The 25322-nt window shown below is 46.6% G+C and overlaps 1 long non-coding RNA gene across 2 annotated transcripts in view; it reads left to right on the forward strand.

Moving 5' to 3' along the window:
* The window catches only part of KCTD21-AS1 (KCTD21 antisense RNA 1), a 34185-nt gene that overhangs the window by 2942 nt on the left and 5921 nt on the right, over positions 1-25322 (forward strand). For both annotated transcript variants that reach the window (NR_102280.1, NR_102281.1), the window contains one exon: positions 6243-6359. This is a non-coding gene — a long non-coding RNA (KCTD21 antisense RNA 1). The remainder of the gene's footprint in view (positions 1-6242; positions 6360-25322) is intronic.

Genomic DNA, 25322 nt, shown 5'->3' on the forward strand with positions numbered 1-25322 from the left:
ATCCCAGCACTTTGGTAAGCCTAGGCAGGTGGATCACTTGAGGTCAGGGGTTCGAGACCAGCTTAGCCAACATGGTGAAAACCTGTCTCTACTGAAAATACAAAAATTAGCCAGGCGTGGTGGTGGGTACCTGTAATCCCAGCTACGCGGGAGGCTGAGGCATGAGAATTGCTTGAACTCAGGAGGCGGAGGTTGCAGTGAGCAGCAGTCATGCCATTGCACTCCAGCCTGGTGACAGAGTAAGACTCTGTCTCAAAAATAAATAAATGCAAAAACAACAAATCTTATTTTTTCAGCCTGTTCGATGTATGTGTGAAACAATGTTGTCCAACAATAAACGGGAATCTTATTTTTCTGAGGTTTTTTCCCCTAACTTCATTTCTAGTGAATTTTCTGAGTTCTAACAAAAAATGGTAGAGACAGTTGTCATGAATTGTACCCCTTTTCTCATTCTTTCTGCTTTAGGCTTGAACATGAGGCATAAAGCTAGACTCAGCTGTTAGGAAAAACTGCCTCATGCTGGCCCTGACATCATTGAGCTAATAAACAAATCCCTCTACCTCCAGACTTATTATGTGAGGAAACACACACACACACACACACACACACACACACACACACACACGTGTTACTGAAACACCAGGGGTTCCGATCTAGTTCCTGTTCCTTGCTTCACAAAAAGCCAATCACTGAGATGATTATTGCCAAAGAATAAGGCTTTAATCAGGTGCTGCAGAGAAACAGATGGGAGATCAATCTCAAACTTGGGTCCCTGACTGACTAAAACTAGGTTTATATAGCAGGAAAGAAATGTAATAATGTGTTAAAAAAAAAAAAAAAAGGAACTAGGGAGGAATAAGGAAGCAATCATGATGAATGAGGGGCTTGGCATCTCATTTTCTGGATGCTGTGATCCGGTGAGTTTCAGTTCTTTGATACTTTTTTTGAGAGACCTGAAGGTCATTTCCTGAGGAAGGAACTCAGATAAATATAACTTTCCAGCTTTAAGACCAGAAGGGTCAATTTCTATGTTTGTCCAAAAAAAAACTAAGGTACTATTGGGTCAGGTTCACACACGCCCACACCACCCTTAGGTGTTTAAGCCACAGTTGGTCAGTTTACCTGTTCTTCCAGCAAAAGCATTTCTCACTGCTCTTGCCAGGTCCTGTCTATTTAACCTCCTAGATGTCTCTCACATTCATGCATTCCTCTTCACCCACCTTTGCCACTCTAGGCATAATGACCTGCTTTCAGCCTTTGGTACATGCCATGTTCCCTCCTGTCACTGCCCTTTATACACGCCCTTCCCTCTGTCTGGAATGTTCTTCCTTCTCCCCTTAGGCTAGTTAGCTCTTCATCCTTTGGCTTTTATAGCAAGCACTGCTTCCCCAAGACAGCCTTCCCCAACCTCCCCTTATCCTACCCTGGGCACCTGTCAGCTGGATGCAATTTTATACTATGTGTGTGATTATCCAATTATCTCACTAGTTATTCACTCCATGAGGACAGGGACCTTTTCTGTTTTATTCATCATTGTAGCAGCAGCAACCCACATAGCAGCTGACACAACAGATACGCTCTATATTTGTTGAATGGCATGAATGTCTAAAATAGGATTCCAACCCAGTCTCTCCTACCTGAGTCTCTGCTTATCCTCAGTAGCTGGGACTACAGGCATGGCATGTGCCACCATGCCTCTTCGGTTCACCTTTAAAAAATAAAAGAATTGGCCACATACAATGGCTCACACCTGTAATCCCAGCACTTCGGGAGGCCAAGGCAGGTGGATCACAAGGTTAGGAGTTCGAGACCAGCTTGGCCAACATGGCAAAAACCCCGTCTCTACTAAAAATACAAAAATTAGCCAGACGTGGCAGGCACCTGTAATCCCAGCTACTTGGGAGGCTGAGGCGGGAGAATTGCTTGAAACCGGAAGGCAGAGGTTTCAGTGAGCCAAGATCTTGCCACTGGACTCCAGCCTAGGTGAAAGAGCAAAACTCTGTCTCAAAAAAAAAAAAGAAGAATGAAAACAAGTCTCTAGGCAATCAGAACCCATAGAGCGGCTGCAGTTTGTGAGATCATCAAAATCTGGACACTCCCTTTCAAAGAAACGTGTAGTGGTCAGGAAAGCTTTCCAGTCACCGGCAATGGCCAGGAACTGGAGTAGAGTGGACTGATTTCATAGAAAGAAAAGAGGCCAGGTCACATGGTTTATGAAACACTTCAACGATCTGCTCAGAGTTTTCAGCTTGAAGACCCCTATGAAACTGACCTTGGCCCTTTTCTGCAATGAGTATATTTGAGACATGGGGAGAAATTGCAGAAAGGTGCCGATGTCAGTTTTATAGGGTCTTCAAGATTATGATTAATTGAATAAGTTATATGTTTTTAGACTTCGGGATGATTGTTTATAATGTCACTTGGAGGGTAATGAAACTCAGAAAGAAACAGGCCAGGTGTGGTGGCTCATCCCTGTAATCCCAGCATTTTCGGAGGCCGAGGTGGGAGGATCGCTTGAGCTCAGGAGTTCCACACCAGTCTGGCCAACATAGCAAAAACTTGTCTCTACTAAAAATAAAAATAAAATAAAAAAATTAGCCAGGCATGATGATGCATACCTGTAGTTCCAGCTACTGGGGAGGCTGAGGTGGGAGGATTGTTTAAGCTTGGGAGATTGAGGCTGCAGTGAGCTGTGATTGTGCGCCACTGCATTCCAGCCTTGGCAAGAGAGTGAGACCCTGTCTCAAAAAAAGAAAGAAAGAAACAGTCCAGTTCCAAGTTTAAAATTAGAAGTGAATAGTATTGCATTTATATGCCATCCTAGCTATTTATTGCTGCATAACAAGTTACCCAAAACTTAGCAGCCTAGAAACATTTATTATTTCAGAGTTTCTGTGGTCAGGAATTCATGAGTGGCTTAGCTAGGTGGTTCTGGTTCAGGTTGCAGCCAAGATGACACCAGGGGCTGTAGTCAACTGAAGGCTCCACTGGAGCTGTAGTATCCACTTCCAAGGCCAACAGAAGCCCTCAGTTCCTTATCACATGATCCACCTTCCTTGGCCTCCCAAAGTGCTGGGATTACTGGCATGAGCCACAGCCCCAGGCCCCAAATGCCCTTTTCCTTTATTGTATGTCAGGCTCCTCCTATCCTATGACAAATCCTGCATGACCCAGTTCAGATGATCTATGAAATTTTCCCAAAGCACTTCATGCAGGTTTCTTTTCAGAATTTACAATTGTAACCCCGATGACAGCTAAGCCCTCCAAGATTCTTCAAATCTAAATAAAACTGACTTTGCCCAACCATTTAGTCTCAATTTGACAGCCTGTGGAAGCCAAGGCTTTCCCTTGTATTTCTGCAGAGTCTCAGAGGCATACATTTTCACATCACCTCTTTTCTCCTGGACTTCCTAATTCTCAGTTGTGGCCTGTGTTCTTACCTTATAACCCAGATTGGAGATTCAGCTCCTTCACTGCTTTCCAGGCAAAACCTGCTGATACACAGTATTTATGAGTACAGAGACTTTACTGACGAGCACAGCACACACAGCAAATCCTTTAAATCTCAAGGCATCAGGCTGGCCCTCCCTGGTCCTCTTTGACTCTTTGGCCATGTGGTGTCCCCCTGTTGCCCTTTCCTGGTGCAGTTTCAGTCTCCCCATTTTTCTGATCTTCCCTCACTCTCTGAAACAACAAACCTCTTCGAAAGCCTTTCTTGTGTAGAGTAGTTCCAGGGCGCTTTCTGTTCTTGGCCTCTCCTTCTACCCAAGACCTTATGAAGGTGTTATTCCAAAGAAGACAATTCCTTTCCCAAGAGGAGTTCTTGGACCAACAGGATAATAATTTTCCAGTCATCTTGTATGTTTATAAGCATGTCTTAGTTCAGGCTGCTATACCGAAGTACCACAGACTGAGTGTCTTATAAACAACAGACAAACAGACATTTATTCCTCACAGTTCTGGAGGCTGGAAGTCTGAGATCCAGGTCCAGGAAGCGGGTCTGGTGAGGGCTGTCTTCCAGGTTGCAGACTGCCAACTTCTTGTATCCTCACATGGTGGAAAGAGAGTGAGAGCGCTTTCTGGGCTCTCTTTCATTTTTATTTACTTATTTATTTATTTTTGAGACAGAGACTCACTGTGTCACCCAGGCTAGAATGCAGTGGCATGATCTCTGCTCACTGCAACCTCTGCCACCAGGGTTCAAGTGATTCTCCTGCTTTAACCTCCCAAGTAGCTGGGATTACAGGTGCCAGCCACCATGCCTGGGTCATTTTTGTATTTTTAGTAGAGATGGAGTTTCACTGTGTTGGTCAGGCTGGTCTTGAACCCCTGACCTCAAGCAATCCACCTGCTTCAGCCTCCCAAAGTGCTGAGATTACAGGTGTGAGCCACCGCTCCCAGCCAGTGGGCTGTCTTTTATAAGGGCACTAATTCTACTCATGAGGGCTCAACCCTCATAACCTAATTACTTTAGACAGGCCCCCACCTCCCTATACCATCACATTGAAGGTTAAGATTTCAACATATCAACTGGGGTAGGGGGCTCAAACATTCAGTCTATAACAGAGTGTGCCTCACCCCATGGGTCTGAATCAGGTCTGGTCTGAGTTGGTTGTCCCAGATCCCTGCACAGAGCTTGGAATATAGTAGGCCTTCAGTAACATTTGTTGAATAAATGAATTTGTGATAAATGAGAATGATTGATTAAAAAATACTGAATAAAATAATGAATCAGCTAGGCGTGGTGGCTCACGCCTATAATCCCAGCACTTTGGGAGGCCGAGGCGGGCGGATCACCTGAGGTCAGGAGTTTGAGACTAGTCTGGCCAACATGGTAAAACCCCAACTCTACTAAAAATACAAAAAATTAGCCAGGCATGGTGGTGGGTGCCTGTAATCTCAGCTACTTGGCAGGCTGAGGCAGGAGAATCACTTGAACCCGGGAAGCAGAGGTTGTAGTGAGCTGAGATCGCGCCATTGCACTCCAGCCTGGGCAACAAGAGCGAAATTTCGTGTCAAAAAAAAAAAAAAAAGAATGAATCAGTTGACATTAATTGACCTGATGGTTCCCAGGGATCTTTGCCCTGCAAAAGAAGAAGCTGACAGAAGTTCTAGTCCTAATTCTAGTCCCAGTTTTGCCTCTCAGTTGCGTGTAATCATGGGCAGGTCACTTTTCCTCTCTGTACCTCAGGTGAAAAATGAGAAGGAGGCTTCTTGTTATTCCTTTTTGTTCTGCCAACCACACCTCATTCTAATCGTCACCTGCTTGCCACCTGATGCTTCATGCTGGGACCTGGCTGGCCTGCTGGGTAGCTTATTATTAAAATCCACCTGCCTGGTTAAAAAGTGCTTTCAAAGCAGAGGGCCCACCTGGAATTGTTCTAGCTCATGATTCTTGTTCAGCCACACCATTGCATTCCTTGCCTTCCTTTAATGCCTGTTACAACTGCACATTGAATAAGCTCTTTCATTCTCCTCCCAATTTACGAATGAAATCCCATCAATCTTTTCCCATGCCCAGCCCTCACGCAGGAGTGTGTGTCTATGTGTTTGTGTGTGTGAATGCGTGTACCTGCATTCACTTGCATGCATACACACACACCCTCTTCCTTAACCAGGTTTATTGTGTCTGAAATTTTCCGAAACTTTGTATAGGCTTTCTGAAGGAAGTAGAAACCCCATGTAGTATTTGTGTTTTTTTTAAGACAGGGTCTCACTCTGTTGCCCAGGCTGGAGTGCAGTGGCGTGATCTTGGCTCCCCGTGTAGTATTCGTAGCAAGGCTTTGGTCATAGTTGCTTTTTCACTGTTTGAGGCCTTCACTGGAGCTATCTACCATGAGTCCTCAGAGGCCAGGATTTCCAAGGAGTAACTGATCAGTTTTCATTCGTTCTTAGCTCATTGATATCACTAAGCCTCTGTGTCAATAACTAATGTAAGTATGTATGTATGTATGTAAGTGCAGTGGTGTGATCATAGCTCACTGCAGCCTCAAACTCCTGTTCTCAGGTGATCCTCCCATCTCAGTCTCCTGAGTAGCTGGGACCACAGTTACGTGCCACCACACCTGGCTAATTAAAAAAATTTTTTTTGTAGAGATGGGTCTTGCCATGTTGCCCAGGCTGGTCTTGAACTGCCAACCTCAAGCAATCTTCCCTCCTTGGCCTCCCAAAGTGCTGGGATTACAAGTGTGAGCCACTATGCCTAGCCAACATCTAAGATCTTTTTTTTTTTTTTGAGACAGGGTCTCGCTCTGTATCCCAGGCTGGAGTTCAGTGGCACGATCTCCGCTCGCTGCAACCTCCGCCTCCTGGGTTCAAGTGATTCTCCTGCCTCAGCCTCCCAAGTAGCTGGATTACAGGTGCGTACCACCATGCCTGGCTAATTTTTTGTATTTTTAGTAGAGATGGGGTTTCACCATTTTGGCCAGGCTGGTCTTAAACTCCTGATCTCAAGTGATCTGCCCACCTCGGCCTCCAAAAGTTCTTGGATTATAGGCGTGAGCCACCGCACCTGGCACAACAACTAAGATCTTTCTTCCCGCCTCCCTGCTCCCCCAGAGACAGTCTCGCTCTGTCAACCAGGCTGGAGTGCAGTGGCGCAATCTTGGCTCACTGCAACCTCCACTTTCCAGGTTCAAGTGATCCTCCCGTCTCAGCCTCCCAAGTAGCTGGGATTACAGGCGCGTGCCACCATGCCCAGCTAATTTTTGTATTTTTTTAGAGACAGGGTTTCACCATGTTGGCTAGGCTGGAAAACTAAGATCTTAATTTGAGTGCCAAAGGGTGTCCCACAGCTCCTTTCCTATATTTTGTTATTGGGGCGGGGCCAGGACACACATTTCAGTAATCTTTGCTTTTAAGGGTTATGAGGTAACTTAAAATATGGAAAAAAAAAAAACAGGTATAACACACAGAACCTTAGATTTCATTGTTGCCAAGCTCCATGTGAACTAGGATATGAATAGTAGCAATGATTCAATTATTATTAATAGCATACACTTACTAGATACCAAACACTGGGTGAAGTGTGATACATAAGTCATCTCATTTATGTAAACATTGTGAGGAAATAGAGCACTGGAGAGTTAAGGAACTCACTCGGGTACTCACTGCTGGTAAGTGATGCAGCCAGGATTCAACCCAGCCCATCAGATGGCAGCATCTGCATCTATAACCATTACACTATTTCTTTCTTCAAGCTCCCAATTTGTGTTCTGAGGAGAGACTAAATAAGGAAAAGAAAAAAATGTCTTCCCCTATTTAGCCACCAGACCTTTGCCCATGACTTGGAAGTGTTTGCTGTGGAGTCTCCTATCTTGTCTTTTTTTTTTTTTTTGAGATGGAGTCTCGCTCTGTCTCCCAGGCTGGAGTGCAGTGGCATGATCTCGGCTCACTGCAATCTCCTCCTTCTGGGCCCAAGCGATTCTCCTGCCTCATTCTTCCCAGTAGCTGGGATTATAGGCTTCCGCCCCAACGCCTGGCTAATTTTTGTATTTTTAGTAGAGACAAGGTTTCTCTATTGGTCAGGCTGGTCTGGAACTCCTGACCTCAAGTGATCCTCCCCCTTTGGTATCCCAAAGTGCTGGGATTACAGGCGTGAGCCACTGCACCTAGCCTCCTATCTTGTCTTCATGAGTGTTCAGAATTTTGTGGTGCACTGATCAGAAGCCCAGAGGAATCTAGACTTCATTGAGGTGCACCTTGGTATTTGAATCCCACTCTCTCTTTTTGTTTTTATTTTTTGGTGGAGTGGGAGGGTAGGGGCAGACAGAGTCTCACTCTGTTGCCCAGGCCAAAGTGCAGTGGGCACAGCTCACTGCAGCCTTGACCTCACAGGCTTAAATCATCCTCCCACCTCAGCCTCCGGAGTAGCTAGGACTATAGGTGCACCACCACACCTGGCTAATTTTTGTATTTTTTGTAGAACTGAGGTTTCGCCATGTTGCCCAGGCTGGTCTCAAACTCCTGGGCTCAAGCAATCTGCCCGCCTCGGCCTCCCAAAGTGCTGAGATTACAGTCATGAGCTACTGTGCCCAGCCCAAATTCCTCTTTATCAGCATCAGATCATATCAATATCAATTTTATAAAGACCATTAATATCAACCAGGAGAAGGATGAAAGCAAAATGTTCTAAGAGCAAAGGGACTGCTGATTATCATCAAGTGACCCTATTTCACAGGAAGAAAATGTGGATGACATTTTATGACCAACAGCATTGTTTATTTAACCTTGGAGCACAATAGAGAAAAACTTTTGACTCCAACCCCCAGTCCCTGAAGGCAGAAGTCTGAAATACCCTCTCAATTCTGTTTATGGCCTTAAAGCATTTGTCTTAGCCTATATTCTCCCCAAAGCAGGGCCTGAGACAAAGGCTTATGTGTGAGTAGTTTAATTTGCTGTGCTGATCTCAGGAAGCAGGAGCTATGCTTGCAGAAAATGAAATAGGGAGTGCAAATATAAGGATAAGATATTAACTACTACTGAGGACAACTGATTACTCAAGCATGGGAGACCTTCTGAGAGACCATATAGGATGCATTTAAGGACTGTCTTGCTCAGGGGAAGAGAGGGAGAAAAGGTTATCCATCAGTTTCCCTCTCCCATTGGTCAAGACTGGCCCTAGGGAACATTTATGTTTCCTGTAAATGAGTGCTAAGTGGACTCCCACAGACATCAGGCATGGCAGCTCAAAGAGACTGGAAGGCAGAAAATGAAAGACATGAGACGGGCCTGAGGCCAGGCATTTTCAGGTTACATCTTCATGAAGATGGTCACTGCTGCACAATGGCTGGAATAAGAGGTGAGACTGACAAGATATGAAGTGGGACATGAGAGGTGTTTGACAGAGTCCAACCCTTGCACCATTCAAGCCCACTTAAAATGCCCTTGTGTAAATTTAATTTGTCATACGGTCGTCTTCAGTATGGCAGTTGGCTGCGTTCTCTGCAAACACTTGATAATCCAAGCAAATTAGTGAAACAAGTTATAACACTTGCTGCTACAGTTGATCCCAAAGCTGTAATTGATATTCATTATCTGCTTCTTCTACCACTCAATCTAGATTTCTCTTATTCTCATCTAGCACTTTGGCTGGCCTGGATTTCTTGCTTGGTGGTGGGACTATGACTGTCCCTGAAGTCCTTATGATTGCCTTACCCTTGATATGATCATGATTACTACAAATAGCCTGTTCATCATTACCACTGGATTTGTTCCTGAGCTGACACTTAACTGAGCCTTACCAGAACATTCCACCATCATCTGCCAGGGTCTGTTTTATTGCAGAAGCCATAGAGGTGATCTGAATAGAGATATAATGGGCATAAACAGGCTTGTGTCCTCTAAGTCTGTTCTGATGGTGTTAATCTCTGCAGTTCTTTCTGGGATGCAATATTGCTTCTACTGATGGGGGCAGTGAAGTGTCTGGGTAACTTCAGGGGCTTCCACTTGGCCCTTTCTACTACAGACTCTTACTCGGCTGGATGTGGTGGCTCACGCCTGTAATTCCAGCACTTTGGGAGGCCGAGGCGGGCGGATCACTTGAGGTCAGGAGTTCGAGATCAGCCTGGCCAATGTGGTGAAACCCCATCTCTACTAACATTAGAGACTACAAAAATTAGCCGTGTGTGGTGGTGGCATGCCTGTAATTCCAGCTACTCAGGAGGCTGAGGCAGGGGAATCGCTTGAACCCAGGAGGTGGAGGTTGCAGTGAGCCGGGATCAAGCCATTGTACTCCAGCCTGGGTGACAGAACAAGACTCTGTCTCAAAAAAAAAAAAGATTCTTACTCCTCAGGTCAGAAAAACAACACAAGAATTCTAATATCTGCTAAATATATATCTGCTGATCTCTACTTCCAGAAACTGGGGAATTAACCACAGGGTGGGTCCGTGAATGCATAGAACCAATGTGAAATGCATTTGGGCTAGAAGTCATTTTATCACTTGGCTTTCATCATTCAAATTCATCATCTAAAAATGGGGGGCTGCATGCGGTGCCTCACACCTGTAATTCCAGCACTTTGGGAGGCTGAGGTGGGTGGATCATCTGAGGTGAGGAGTTCAAGACTCATCCTGGCCCACAATGCAAAACCCGTCTGCACTAAAAATACAAACATTAGCCAGGCGTGGTGGCGGGCACTTGTAGTCCCAGCTACTCGAGAGGCTGAGGCGGGAGAATCACTTGAACCCAGGAGATGGAGGTTGCAGTCAGCCGAGATTGTGCCACTTCACTCCAGCCTGGGTGACGGAGCGAGACTCCCTGTCAATAAATAAATAAATAAATAAATAATGGGGGTGACAGTTCTTATCACTTACGGGTTTTGTGAGGATTAAATGGTATGTGTAAACACCAAAACAGCTGTTGACACACAGTAGGTGTTCAAGAAATAGTACTGTGATAGGACATTTTTCTACAGAAATCCTGACTCCCGCTTTGGATGATTTCCTTGAATCCTGAGTTTTTTGAATTCCCCAAATTGTCCTCCATGGTACTACATAGTCATTAAGAACAAAGATTTAGGAGCCAGATCATTGGGGTTTTGAATCTTGGCTCTACCAGTCACTAGCTGTTGGATGTTGGGCAAGTGGTTTAATCTATCTGTGATTCAATTTCTTTAATCTATAAAATGAGAAAAATTATATATCTCACAGTATTGTTTTGGTAATTGAGTTATTATATGGAAAACACCTAGAATTGCCTGGCACATAGTAAGCAGAATGTAACTGTTAGCTATTATTATTTTATTGTTATTTTTTGAGATGGGGTCTCACTCTGTTGCCCAGGCTGGAGTGCAATGGTGAGATCATGGCTTGCTGCAGCCTCAACCTCCCACGCTTAAGTGATCCTCCCACCTCAGCCTCCCAAGTAGCTGGGACTACAGGTGCATGCCACCACACCCAGCTAATTTTTGTATATTTGTAGAGACAGGGTTTCACCATGTTACCCAGGCTGGTCTTGAGTCCTGGGCTCAAACAATCCGCACACTTTGGCCTCCCAAAGTGCTGGGATTACAGGTGTGAGCCACCATGCCTGGCCTATTATTATTATTAATTGGCCAACACTACCACCTAGAATTTCTTACTAGCTGGCTTTTTTTCCCCCATCCGTTGCTTAGCTACATATATCTCCCCTCTCACTCTTCTCTTTCTCCTTCCAAATCAAAAGGTTACAGCCTGCTGGTGGCCATTCTGACAGGCTGGGAAGCATAGGCTCCAGTTAGAAGCCAGAAACAGGCTCTTCCTCTCCTTCCAAATCATACCTGGGGGACTCAGCTTTTCTGGGAAACGTAATAATAGAAACATTTACCCAGCACTTACTCAGAGTATTGTGCTAAATTCTTTCCATGGATGAACTCTTAATTTTCACAACAATCTTAAGAGGTAGATATAAATATTATGCCCACTTTATAGATAGGGAAAATTACAGTTTCAGAGAGACATGACAACTTACCTAAGGTCACATTCTAGAAATTGGTAGAGTTGGGATTTGAGCCCAGGTTTGTGATATTCCCTAGCCTATTCTAACCATAGGAATATGGCATTGCGTAGTAGTAAATTTATGCACTCTAGCATCAGACTGTGTTCACATGCTGGACTCACAGCTGTGACTTACTACTGCCTTGCCTACTTAAGTGGCTTCTGAAAATATTTGGCCTTTCCATTGGAGATGGAGACAAATGTGGGCAGTAATGTTTTTAAATAGAGTTTTCCCCAATACCCAACATAGAATCTGCCGCAGAGCAGATGCCTCATAAACATTGGCTCAGAAAATAAATATATTCACGACACTATTGTAGGCACGGTGTGGGTTACAAAGGCAGTTGATTGATTACTTATTTATTGCAAGGAATTGGCTGTTTTGCTCGTCAGGGCTGGCTTGGCAAGTTAAAAATCTGCAGGGCAAACCAGCAGGCTGGAAACTCAGGCAGGAGTGGAAGCAGCAATCCACAGTAAGTTTCTTCCCCAAGGAAGACTTCAGTTTGGTCTTTAGGCCTTTACACTGATTGGATGAGGCACACCCAGATTATTGAAGACAGTCTCTTTTATTCAAAAGTCAACTGACTGTACATGTTAACCACATCTACAAAATACCATCACAGCAACACCTAGATTCGTGTTTGATTAATAAAGTAGGTACTATATCCTAGCCATATTGACACATAAAACTAAACTTCATGGTCAGACTTGGTGGCTCACGCCTGTAATCCCAGCATTTTGGGAGGCCAAGACAGGGGGATTGCTTGAGTCCAGGAGTTGGAGACCAGCCTGAGCAACATGGCAAAACCCTGTCACTACAAAAAATTTAAAAAACTAGCCAGGTGAGGTGGCGGGAGCCTGTAATCCCAGCTACCCAGGAAGCTTGAGCCCTGGCAGTCGAGGTTGCAGTGAGCCAAGATCGCGTCACTGCACTCCAGCCTGAGTAACAGAGTGAGACCCTGTCTCAAAAACAGACAATCAAAAAACTAAACTAAACTAACCTTCACTTAATTTTTTCAAGTTCGTTTCATCAGCTATAAAATTGAGATACTGATCCTTACCTCCTTACCTCCTATATGAAAATGCACATTAGGTAGCAGAACTTTGCATGAAGCAGAGCAACAGGGCTTAACAGGTCTTAGCGCTCAGTCTACAAGAATCAGTGGGGAGGCCGTTGCAATGCTTTGACGAGCAGGGTTTGGTTTGAATAAGAATATATTTTTCCAACATGGATATTTTGTAATATAAGCACATGGGTGGCGGGGAAACAGTTCAAACTGGCAATCAATGAAGAGGTTGTCTCACTCTAGGCCTTTCCCTCAGAAGTAATCGTTGCTGATAGTTTCTGACTATTTTTCCAGAATTTTGTTCTATATGCATGCACGCTCAATGCCTAATCACACTCAGCCTTTTGTCCCCTTGCACCTTGCTTTTTAAATTTAATGGTATGTCTTGGAGAATGTTCCATTTCAGCATGTACAAATCTACTTCTTTTAAAAAATGGCTGCAAAGGGCTGGGCGTGGTGGCTCACGTCTGTAATCCTGGCACTTTGGGAGGCCAAGGCAGGCGGATTGCCTGAGCTCAGGAGTTTGAGACCAGTCTGGGCAACACAGTGAAACCCCATCAATACAAAAAAAAAAAAAAATTAGCCGGGTGTGGCAGCGTGTGCCTGTAGTCCCACCTACTCGGGAGGCTGAGGCAGGAGAATTGCTTGAACCCAGGAGGCGGAGGTTGTAGTGAGCTGAGATCACACCACTGCACTCCAGCCTGGGCGACAGAGCGAGACTCTGTGTCTTAAAAAAAATTGGCTGCAAAGTATTCCATTGTGTTGTTAAATACTAATTTACTTATTTAATAAGTTCTCAACTGATGGTAATTTAGGTTACCAACTTTTTTGCTATTATAAATAATACAAGGGTAAACATCTTTGTACATACATACATGTTTGCATAATGTGTAAGAAGAGATGTAAGATAAATTTCGAGAACTGGAAATACTGCATTAAAGGGTTTGCACATTTAAAATGTCAATGTATAGTGCCACTTTATCTTTCAAAGAGATTGCATTAGTTTATACCCAACCAATAGTATACGAGAGTGCTGTTTCCCCATGCCCTTATCAACACTGCCACCTTGGATTTAAACCTACTTGTTTTCCTTTAAAATACCAAAATGGGCATTTGAAAAAAAGAGGCATGATTTGTTCCTTGGCAAGAGCTATATTTTGTTTGAGTTTGATCTTTCTGATAGCAGACCTAGGCCTTGTGCCCTGTCCTGTGGTCCCATCTCTGAGGAGCTGGGCAGATGACCTGACCACAGGACTCAATCAGGATAGCTTCAGGTCACCAGGCCAAAGGGTAGGCCAGACCCGGGCCTGTGCCTAGCCTGATGATGGAAATGCAAACAAGCCAAGTTCTATAATAGAACACAGAGCCATTGCCGGGAAACCACAAATTGCTGACTTGCTCCTGCAAACAATCAATATTCAGAAGCTGAGTCCAGGAATTCTAACGATGCATCCTGCACAAAGGGCTGAGTGGGGGAGGATGTGCTTTTAGAAAAAAACCCAGCACCAGAAGCCCTGGTGCTGCTTCTTAGAGGGCCATCAAGAAGGCCCTTGGTCCCATCACCACGCCCTCTGACAATCCCAGAACCCTAGGCTCTCGGAGCCAGAGTAGATCTGGGAAATTATCCTGCCCTGAGAGAGTCCAGGCAAAGAATCAAGGGAGTTCCAAGGAGCAAGTGCTCACTTCGGTGGGATAGTGCAGGGCAGTGGTTAGTGGCTACACTTGGGCTCAAATCCTGACTCAGTCACCAGCTTTCTGACCTTGGACACATTGCTTCACATCTCTCAGCCTCAGTTTTCTCATCTATAGAATGAAGACAATAACACCTATCTCAGAAGGTCATTATGAAGATTCAACTGAATAATTATGTTTGTAAATAATTTAGCATGGCAACTGGCTTTTTGTAAGGTCGTAATAAATTATTATTAATATTCATTTTTTTTTTGAGACAGAGTCTCCCTCTGTCACCCAGGTTGGAGTGCAGTGGCACTATCTAGGCTTGAATCCTCCTGGGTTCAAGTGATTCTTCGGTCTCAGCCTCCCAAGTAGCTGGGACTACAGGCATACACTAGCACGCCCAGCAAATTTTTTGTATTTTTAGTAGAGATGTGGTTTCGCCATGCTGGCCAGGCTGGTCTCAAACTCCTGAGCTCAAGTGATCCACTGACCTTGGCCTCTCAAAGTGCTAAGATTACAGGTGTGAGCCACCATGCCTGGCCTATATTGTTATGAATAAACAATAGGATATCAGGAGTGGGGACTAAGGAGAGGCCATTTGCACTAGACCTTGAAGAATTTGGAAGATTTGGTAATTAGAATGATTAAAGGGATGAAGTTCCTGTGCAAAGGTTCTCTTCTCGTGTCTCTCCTGGCCTGACCAGGAGGCATGCTGGGGTCTCAGCAGTAGACCACTGCAGAGGAGGGTGGGTATATGTAGGGGATAATTCCACTGCAGAACATGTCAAATAGTCCTTGCTTAAATGGTATCTACAATGACATTTGCATCTGTGTTCCAAATTCATCCCCATATCCTCCTGTCTCAGCCTCCCAAAGTTCTGAGATTACAGGCATGAGCCACTGTGCCCAGCCTCCATCCACATTTGAATGCAGGCTCCATCAGGGCAGGCCCCTTTACTGTTAAAATTCTGCGTGATGATGAAGGGCACATGCCTGCACGGATTTCCTCTACTCTGTTCCACCTTAGCTGCTTCCCTCCCTCAGCAACGCCTGGCATCCCTACTCTGGGGTCGTTACTTAGAGGCAGGATATGGCTCCAATTTAGCACCATTATCCCCAGGACCAGATAGACAGTAATTGGAATGAATCAATATAACATACAAAACTCTTCATAATCTGGGTTCAGTATATTTTTTTAGCCATTCTCTTAGCCTAGACTCCAGCTAGTCTCTAGCATAGACTACATAGAATAATGGTAACATTGGGCTGGGGGTGGTGGCTCATGCCTGTAATCTCAGCACTTTGGGAGGCTGAGGTGGGTGGATCACTTGAGGCCAGGAGTCCAAGACAAGCCTGGCCAACATGGTGAAACCCCGTCTCTACTAAAAATACAAAAAGTAGCCACGCATGGTGGTGCACGCCTGTAGTCCCAGCTACTTGGGAGGCTGGGGCAGGAGAAGAGCTTGAACCCGGGAGGCGGAGGTTGCAGTGAGCCAAGATCGTACCACTGCACTCCAGCCTGGGCAACAGAGTGAGACTCTCTCTCACAAAACAAAAACAAAACAAAACAAAACAAAAGAATAATGGTAATATTGATCATCATTCACTGAGTGTGTACCAGTCATTGTTCTAGCACTTTACATGCATTAATTCACCGAATCCTTACAGAACCCTATCAGTTAAGTATTATTATTATCTCCATTGGTCTGGTGAGAAAATTAGACCCAGAAAGGTGAAACAAATTCCTGATAGAGCAAGGACTTGAAGCCAGGTGGTCTGCCTGGACCCTGAACCATTCCCAGCCACTCCTCTCTGTTGCCTCTGCTGCAGAGTGGCTTTGCTCTTTCAAGTCGCTGAGCCTCTGCTCTGCTGCAATGCCCTTCCCCAACTTCTGGCTCTAGCAAACTCTACTTGCCCTTTGAAGCCCAGCCCAGATACTGCATCCCTGGCCCCACCTGCTTCTCCAACCAGGGGAAGGAGGTTGTCCCTGTCTCCACTTTGTTCCCCTTACAAGTTGCTCCCAGTCCTGGATGGGGAGGTCGTCTGAAACAGGACCCTGACTCACGCCTCAGTATCCCCAGCCCTCAGCACAGTGCTTGTCTGTGGGTCTTTCATTTGTGTTTTCAACAAACATGAACGAGTTGAATGAGTAACTCCACTGCTTCACACACAAGGAAACAAATCCAGAGAGGCAGAGGGACCTGTCCATATCACACAGCCAGTGAGAGAAAGAGCTGAGGCCAGACTCCAGGGCTCCTGACACCCAGCCCTGCTCTCTCTCACGCCATCCCAACTGTGTGTGGAATGTTTGGAAAAGCCTTCATGCATCTTTGAGCCTTTCTTAATTCTGTCTTACATTTATTTCATCCCAAAGAGGACTTCTTTGAGAATGCTGGTGGGAGAGTGAATTTTGGCTCGTCTTGTCTGAAGTCATGAGGCAACAGGGAAAAACAGACAAACAATCCTGAGATGTGTTTTACTGACCCGGTCCTCAAAACAGCAGAACAAAACACTCCACACTCAAGCTGGGGCTGCTAGCCAGCAGGGCACTGAGTGAAGCTGGACAGAATTCACTAGGGATCCTCCTCCCTTTTGCTTAAAATGGTGGGGACTTTGGAGAGGAAGTGTTTTCTGGTTAGTCTGAATTTTCTTTTTTTTTTTCCTTTTTTTTTGAGATGGAGTCCCACTCTGCTCCCCAGGCTAGAGTGCAGTGGCACAATCTCAGCTCACTGCAACCTCCGCCTCCTGGGTTCAAGCGATTCTCCTGCCTCAGCCTCCCGAGTAGCTGGGATTACAGGCGTGCACCACCACACCTGGCTAATTTTCATTTTTTTAGTAGAGATGGGGTTTTACCATGTTGGCCAGGCTGGTCTTGAACTCCTGACCTCAGGTGATCCATCCGCCTCAGCCTTTCAAAGTGCTGGGATTACAGGCTTGAGCCACTGTGCCTGGCCCTTTTTTTTTCTTTTTCTTTCTTTTTGACAGGGTCTTGCTCTATCACCCAGGCTGGAGTGCAGTGGCACAATCATGGCTCATTCCCACCTCAGCCTCCCAGGCCCAAATGATCCTCCCACCTCACCCGTGTAGCTGGGACCACAGCTGTGCACCACCATGCCTGGATAATTTTTAAATTTTTTGTAGAGATGAGGTCTCCCTATGTCACCCAGGCTGATCTCAAACTCCTAAGCTCAAGGGATCCTCCTGCCTCTACCTCCCAAAATGCTGGGATTACAGGCTTGAGCCACTGTGCCTGGCCCTTTTTTTTCTTTTTCTTTCTTTTTGACAGGGTCTTGCTCTACCACCCAGGCTGGAGTGCAGTGGCACAATCATGGCTCATTCCCACCTCAGCCTCCTGGGCCCAAATGATCCTCCCACCTCACCCGTGTAGCTGGGACCACAGGCGTGCACCACCATGCCTGGATAATTTTTAAATTTTTTGTGGAGATGAGGTCTCCCTATGTCACCCAGGCTGATCTCAAACTCCTAAGCTCAAGGGATCCTCCTGCCTCTACCTCCCAAAATGCTGGGATTACAGGCGTGAGCCACCACACCTGGCCAGTGATGATTACTTATTCATGATGTCCTTTATGGCTGGAATGGCCTTCCTCACCTTGTCTGCCTAGGAAACTTTTACTTGTCCATCATAAGGGTGTTCTCCTTGGCAAGGCATCTCTGACCATCCCGTTTCCCCTCAGTGTGGTCCCTGGTTCTCTCAGCTCTCTCACCCCTTTTACCTTTGCCCCTCTAACACAATCTGATTTATGTTGAAATTGTTTACTTGCCCATCTTCCCTAGTAGGTGATGCCAGCTAAGAGGATAGGCTCAGGTCTGTGCCCTCAGGGCCTAACAGTGCCTGCCCCATGGAGACTCAGGAACTGGCTTCTACATCCCTAGATCAGGAGCACTAGGAGGTTGGGAGAAGAGAAGCTTTGCAGAGCTGGGGGCTGCACAGCTCCTGGGAGCACAAATCATATCATATGCTATTACTTTGTTTGAATGGAGTCCCTGGAGCTGTGCAGCTTGGTAGCTCTGGGCCTCTGCCTGAGACAGACTTGGTCTTGAATCTTAGCTCTGCCACATTCTGGCTTCACTCCTTGGACCATTTAATCTGTTTAGGCCTCAGTGTCTTCACTTGTCAATGACTGTTATGATTGTGACCTCTCAGATTGTTGTCAAGATTAAATGAGATGATACACACAACGATCCCGATGGTGCCTGGCCAGTGGTAGTTGTAACCCGGTACCGGATTTTTAATGACAAGATTCATACCAGGGCTGAGCATCAGACTATGGGGTTGCCTTGGTAGTGTAAGAGGCAGAAAGGTAATGTGAAGAGGCAGAAAGAACAGTGCTCTAGGAGACAAGAACCCTGGATACAAGGGCTGTGTGTGTGCACATGTGTGTGTGTACTTTCTCTGCCCTACCATTGTGGTCCATCTTCCCCTCTGTCCCAGGCCCATCCTGGTTTTGTACTCCATACTGAGCTGGAAAAATTTGAGGTAGAGGAGCAGCTAGGAACCCATCTAGGGTGGCCAGGCCTACCCGTGCGCTGGGAAGCAGGAGTGCCCTTGAGCAGTGGCACTGCTTTGGGCTGGAGCCATGAGGCCTCCTCTGTGGTGGGGGTCATGGTTTGGAGCATGGGCTATGGAGCCAACAGCCTGGGTGCAAAATCCCTCTTAGCCCCTTCCTCACTGTTCTACCTGTCTGTGCCTCAGCTTCCTCACTGGATTAGTTCACTAGGGCTGCTGTAACAAAGTGCCACAGCCTGGGTGGCTCAAACAGCAGAAGTCATTTCACATAGTTTTGGAGGCTAGGAGTGTGAGATCAAGGTGTTGGCCCGATTGGTGTCTAGTGAGGGCCTCTCTCCTCGGCTTGCGGGTGGCTGGCTTTGTGGTTCTATGTTCGCTATTGGTGAAATAAGGGACAGTGAGCTCAGAAGGAAGTGAACTTCCAGGGTCTAAATAGCCCAGGTGGAACAGTGCACAGACCTGCAGTGACACTGCCCAGCTGGCCAATACTGGACTGTGTTTCATCCTAGACAATTTCAAGACACAAGTTTGTTTTATGTTCTATTAATACCGTATAAGAATAAACACTAGAAATTGTAATTGTAAGACACCATCAATTAAGTCTCACTCTGATCTCAGAGATGCTGAAATTTGAAAAAAATATGTGTTGTGTCTTAGAATTGATGAAAGACAGTAGGTCCTGTTTTTTAGCTTTTGGCAGTGAGGATCCACTGAGGTGGAGGGGGGGCAGGCCATGTGTCTGGGGCCGCAGACGCTGGCTGCTGTCCAGTATCAGCGTCCACACAGGAAGTGGAATGGTGAAGCACCATCCCAGTCAAGTCTCCTCACTTGGAAAACTGGCTAAATCCACGGCTGGGAAACAGATCTCAAAAGCTGCACAGGTCCCACTTGAGCTTTTTGGTGGGCCTTGTAAAATGAGCCCTTTGCGTGGGCATCTGACAGACCTGGGTTCTTGCTCTAAAGCTGCTACTCATCAACCAAGAAATTGAAAGATGAAAGGCTCCAAAGTGCAAAGAGGGGCCAGGCATGGTGGCTCATGCCTGTAATCCCTCCGAGGTGTGTGGATCACTGGAGCCCAGGAGTTCGAGACCAGCCTGGGCAATATGGTGAAACCTGATCTCTACAAAAAAAAAAAAAAAAACAAAAACAAAAAGAAGAAGAAGAAAATTAGCCAGGTGTGGTGGCACACACCAGTAGCCCCAGCTACTCTGGAGGCTGAGGTGGGAGGATCACTTGAGCCCAGGAGGTCAAGGCTTCAGTGAGCCATGATCATGATGCCACTGCACTCCAGCCTGGGTGACAGAATGAGACCCTGTCTCAATAAGTAAACAAAAGTGCAAAGAGGGCTTTGCCAAATGTTGCATGCACAAGATGGTGTGTGTGTGAGAGACAGGGCTGGGAGTCAGGGGTCCCGGGGTTCGGTTTTGGCTTTTCCCTCCCTGGCTGTGGACTTGGCCAGGTCCCTCTGCCTCTCTGGACCTGTTTCCTCGTGGGTAAAGCAGTTGAGTTCAGTCACTCATCCAACAAATGTGAACTGGGGGCCCTTTCTGGGTGGTGTGCTGAGGGCTGGGGGTATACAGGGTGAGATGTGGTCTCCGCTCCCGGAGAGCTCCGTCCAGTGTGGAGAGCAAGGAGTGAAGAGAGCAGAGAGGAGGCAGCCAGGCATTCTCCATGCACTGTCTCCTTTAATCCTCATCATCACCTTATGTGATGGGTAACACAGGCATTTTTATTGCCATTTCAGAGATGCAGTCATGGAGACTGAGAAAGATGGTGCTGCTTACCAAGGCAGGGCCAGGGTTTGGACCTGTTCTGCCTTACCTAAAGCCAGTTCTCTTTCCTCTTCACCTTGGATGGTCAGTCAGAAGTTTCCTTCTAGCACAGCATTCTCAGATTCTATGCCAAAAAATAGCCTGTGAGTGTCACATTCTGACAGGCTTCTACAAGATCCCCCTCACTTAGCAACCAAGTAAGGGAGAGCCTCTCTCTGCTCAGGAATGGTGGGGCCGGGGGTAGGGGTGCAGGGTAGCTCAGCTTGTCTAACCTGGCTTGTCTTCTAAGGAGGTGGTAAGCACCATGTTTCAGGGGAGTGAGCCTCCCCCTCACAAAAGCTTTCCATCTACACTCATGGGCATGTCAGTGGTGTGACATGCCATCTGAGTGATTCCACTTTGCCTGTTCATTTTATGCCCAGCAGCTCTTAATACAGTCCAGCAGTTCATACTGGAAAATACAGAAATCAAGGGACTGCTCTGTCAGTGAGCATTATGTTCACAGGTTCGTGTCACAGGATGAAGGGGCAGGAGAAGATGCTGGGGGCCAGTCCTTAGTCTGAAGCCTCCATGGCAGCCCCATCAAGGGATTTTTTGGTCTCTGTTTGCATATCTCCCTGGATAGGAGGATCATGCTTCCTTTCAGCTCTGGCTAGAAGAGACTTCTAGCTGGTAGAGCCCAACAATACCTTGCACATTTTGCCGAGGAAGCTCTCAGGCTGACAGTGAAGTGATTTGCTCAGGGTTGCCTGGTGCGACAGTGGAAAGCCTGGGTCAGAGTCTTGGCACTGGGAAGCCTGGTTCTGTCCTTGACCTCAAAGTTGAGTGGAAATAATCCCAAGGGAGGATTTAGGCTGGATTCTTGCCTCAACCAGGTCATTTAACTTGAATTAAATGATATTTAATTCAATTTAATATTAGCCAAGGCCTACTATGTGCCAGGCACTATACTTACACCTAATGTGATCACCTCCCTGAACCCTAGTTTCCCATCTATGAAAAAAAATACCTCCTGTGCATCTTTTCTCAGAGCCCTGTTATGAGGATGAAATGAAGAAAAGGAAGTAAAGTGCTTTGTAAACTGTAAAGTGCTGTGTCCATTGAGGCATTGTTGCTAAAGCTGGCCATCCTATCTCTGCGGTCCACTCTGCCTGGAGCAGACTTCCCACTTAGCACTGGCTACCATATTTGAATTTGTTTATCTGCTCCTCACCCCCACCAGAGTTCCCAGGGGAGGAATGTTTGGGGGCTTGTATTTGATTTCCCAGAACCTCGCCCTGGGCCTGGCACATGGCAGATGCTTAACAGTATTTATAAATGTCATAGTCCATTCAGGCTGCTATAACAAAATGCCATAAACTGGGTAGCAGAAATGTATTTCCCACAGTTCTGGAGGCTGGGAAGTCCAAGTCCAAGATCAGGGACAGGCAGATTTGGTGTCTGGTGAAGCCTGGTTTCCTGCCTCATACATAGCTGTCTGTCTTCCCTGTGTCCTCATGGGGTAGAAAGGGCAAGGGAACCCTTTGGGGTCCCTTTTTTTTGAGACGGAGTTTCACTCTTATTGCCCAGGCTAGAGTGCAATGGTGTGATCTTAGCTCACCCCAACCTCTGCCTCCCGGGTTTGAGCGATTCTTCCGCCTCATCCTCCTGAGTAGCTGGCATTACAGGCATGCGCCACCACGTGTAGCTAATTTTGTATTTTTAGTAGAGATGGTGGTTTCTCCATGTTGGTCAGGCTGGTCTCGAACTCCCGACCTCAGGTGACCCGCCCAACCTGGCTTCCCAAAGTGCTGGGATTACAGGCGTGAGCCACCATGCCCGTTTTTTTTTTTTTTTCTTTTTGAGACGGATTCTTACTCTGTTGCCCAGGCTGGAGTGCAATGGCACGATCTTGGCTCACTGCAACCTCCACCTCCCGGATTCAAGCGATTCTCCTGCCTCAGCCTTCCGAGTAGCTGGGATTACAGGCATGCACCACCATGCTCAGCTAATTTTCTTTTCTTTTTTTTTTTTGTATTTAGTAGAGATGGGGTTTCACCATGTTAGGCTGGTCTTGAACTCCTGACCTCAGGTGATCCACCTGCCTCGGCCTCCCAAAGTGCTGGGATTACAGATGTTCACCACCGTGTCCAGCCCTGCGGTCCCTTTTGTAGGAACAAATCCCATTCATGAGGGTTCCACTCTCACGACCTAACTACCTCTCAAAGCCTATCCCTCCAAATATCACACTGGGGTTAGGTTTCAACTTAGGGGTATTATAGGGACACAAGCATTCAGTCTGTAAACAGAACATGTGATGAGCTCTTGTTTCTCAGACCCAAGGAGATGCCAACCTGTGGGCACTGGAAGACCCCTGGGGGGAGGGCTAGGGAGAGGGCAGGTGGGAAGGGTGACCACTGTGGTGAAGTAGCTACATTGTATAGGGTATATACCCTGGGGTGCGTCTCCTTGCGCCAGGAAAATTTAGGACATGGGCACACACGAGGAGTTTAGGAGCGGAGTTTTAATAGGCAGAAGAGAAAGAGAAACAGCTTTTTCTATAGAGAGAGAGGGGTCTCTGAGTGGAAAAGACTGGCTGGTGGTGGATGCACCAGACTTTATAGTCCAGCTTGAGGAGGTGGTGTCTGATTTATGTAGGGATCACAGATTGTTTTGATCAGGTGTGATATTTACATAGCGCAAGGAAGGCTTGTTGCCCCACCCTAATCCTATGATGCAAATGAACTCTCCTTGGCTGGTGCCATCTTGTCTGCTCCTTACTGTACACGTGGCTGGCAAAGAAGGGATGATGGAGCCCCCATCTTGAACATGTCTAGTCCCTCCCTAGTCCCTAGTTCCTGCTGACATTCAGCCATGCAAGCTCCCAGCTTGTTTGTCTGTATCTGCAGCTTGACTTTATAGGTTGCTGTTTGGTAGAAAATGATTTTGGGCTGCTTTTCATTAAAAAGAAAAGCCTTACCGAGGACTCCCATATCCTTACTATCTGCCTAAGTGATTTCTTCTTAACTCCTATTATCAGTGGGGTACTCTAAGCAGCGGGAGTGGCTTTGTTATCCCAGCTTGGACCTGTAGTTTTTGGCTCTCATGTAAATAGAAATGAACCCTGGCTGGGTGCGGTGGCTCACGCCTGTAATATCAGCACTTTGGGAGGCCGAGGCGGGCAGATCATGAGGTCAAGAGATCGAGACCATCCTGGCCAACATGGTGAAACCCCGTCTCTACTAAAAATGCAAACATTAGCTGGGCATGGTGGCACGTGACTGTAGTCCCAGCTACTCTGGAGGCTGAGGCAGGAGAATCGCCTGAACCCGGGAGGTGGAGGTTGCAGTGAATTGAGATCATGCCAGTGCACTCCAGCTGGGCGACAGAGTAAGACTCCGTCCCCCACCCCCCTCACAAAAAAAGAAAAGAAAGAAATTAACACCAGGCCAAACAGAACTTTTACTCAGGCAAGGTTTCATAGGCTTGCGTCTGGAGCAACTGCGCGGGAGCATTGTATGGGAAAGGGATCCTGGTGCTAGCTCCTGGAAGGACTTGGCTCTTGTCATTTTAAGGAAGCTGAGGCGAGAAAAAGGAGTGACATGTAGGCATGTAGGGATGGGGAACTTTTAGCACCTGCGCAGTTTGACTATGTGTTTCTCATGCATCATATGTCTCATTAGTGCGTTAAATCTCCAGCCCTGGGTGTGATTTTTAGTATTACGATGTGATTATTATAAGGAAAACTTGGTGAAAGGTCAGTGCTGGAGTCCATCTTGTCTTCAGCCAACTGCATGTGGTCTGGTTCTTATCAGGAATGCCAGAGGCCTGCTTTTAGCAACCTTGGGAGACAGCACTCAAGGACATAAATGGTTAGTTTCTTATTTTTATGGTTACAAACTCAGCCTGGTCAGCTAACTTAGGAGAGAGGTCCCCCTTTGCTATGTGACGTGGGTCAGCTTGTTAACGGATACAAGAAGGCAGCAGAGGGAATATGCCTGGACATGTGAGGCCCAGGGGGTCTTGGTGACCCAGTCTCTTGTCTTCTCTATACTGTCTTAGCTTGGCTTAGGTCAGGACATGGGGCTGTCATGGAGAGCCTCTCTCTGCTCAGGAATGGTGGGGCTGGGGTTTGGGGGCAGGGTGGCTCGGTTTGTCTAACCTGGCTTGTCTTCTAAGAAGGTGGTAAGCACTATGTCTCAGGGGAGTGAGCCTCCCCCTCACAAAAGCTTTCCATCTACATTCATGGGCATGTCAGTGGTGTGACATGCCATCTGAGTGACTCCACTTTGCTGGTCATTTTATGCCCAGCAGTGCTTATACAGTCCAGCAGTTCACACTGGAAAATACGGAAATCACAGGACTGCTCCATCTGTAAGCATTATGTTCACAGGTTAGTGTCACAAGATGAAGGGGCAGGAGAAGATGCTAGGGGCCAGTCCCTAGTATGGCACGACAGAGCCCCTGCCCTTACCAGCATGTGGATCAGCCAGAAAGATGGTGGGGGGCTGGAGTTCCTCACCCTGGCTCTCCAGAGCCTCTTGTGTGCCTGTCTTCCAGCTTGATGGTGACATCCCATTAGTGGCTTGAAACTGACCATGGTGACAGTAGTTATTTTATTTTATTTATTTATTTTTTGAGACGGAGTTTTGCTCTTGTTGCCCAGGTTGGGGTGCAATGGCATGATCTCGGCTCACTGCAACCTCCACCTCCCAGGTTCAAGTGATTCTCCTGCCTCAGCCTCCCGAGTAGCTGGGATTACAGGCATGTGGCACCACACCCGGCTTTTTTTTTTTTTTTTTTTTGTATTTTTAGTAGAGACA

The sequence above is a fragment of the Homo sapiens genome, chromosome 11 (assembly GCF_000001405.40).
Source record: "Homo sapiens chromosome 11, GRCh38.p14 Primary Assembly".
Taxonomy (NCBI): Eukaryota; Metazoa; Chordata; class Mammalia; order Primates; family Hominidae; genus Homo; species Homo sapiens.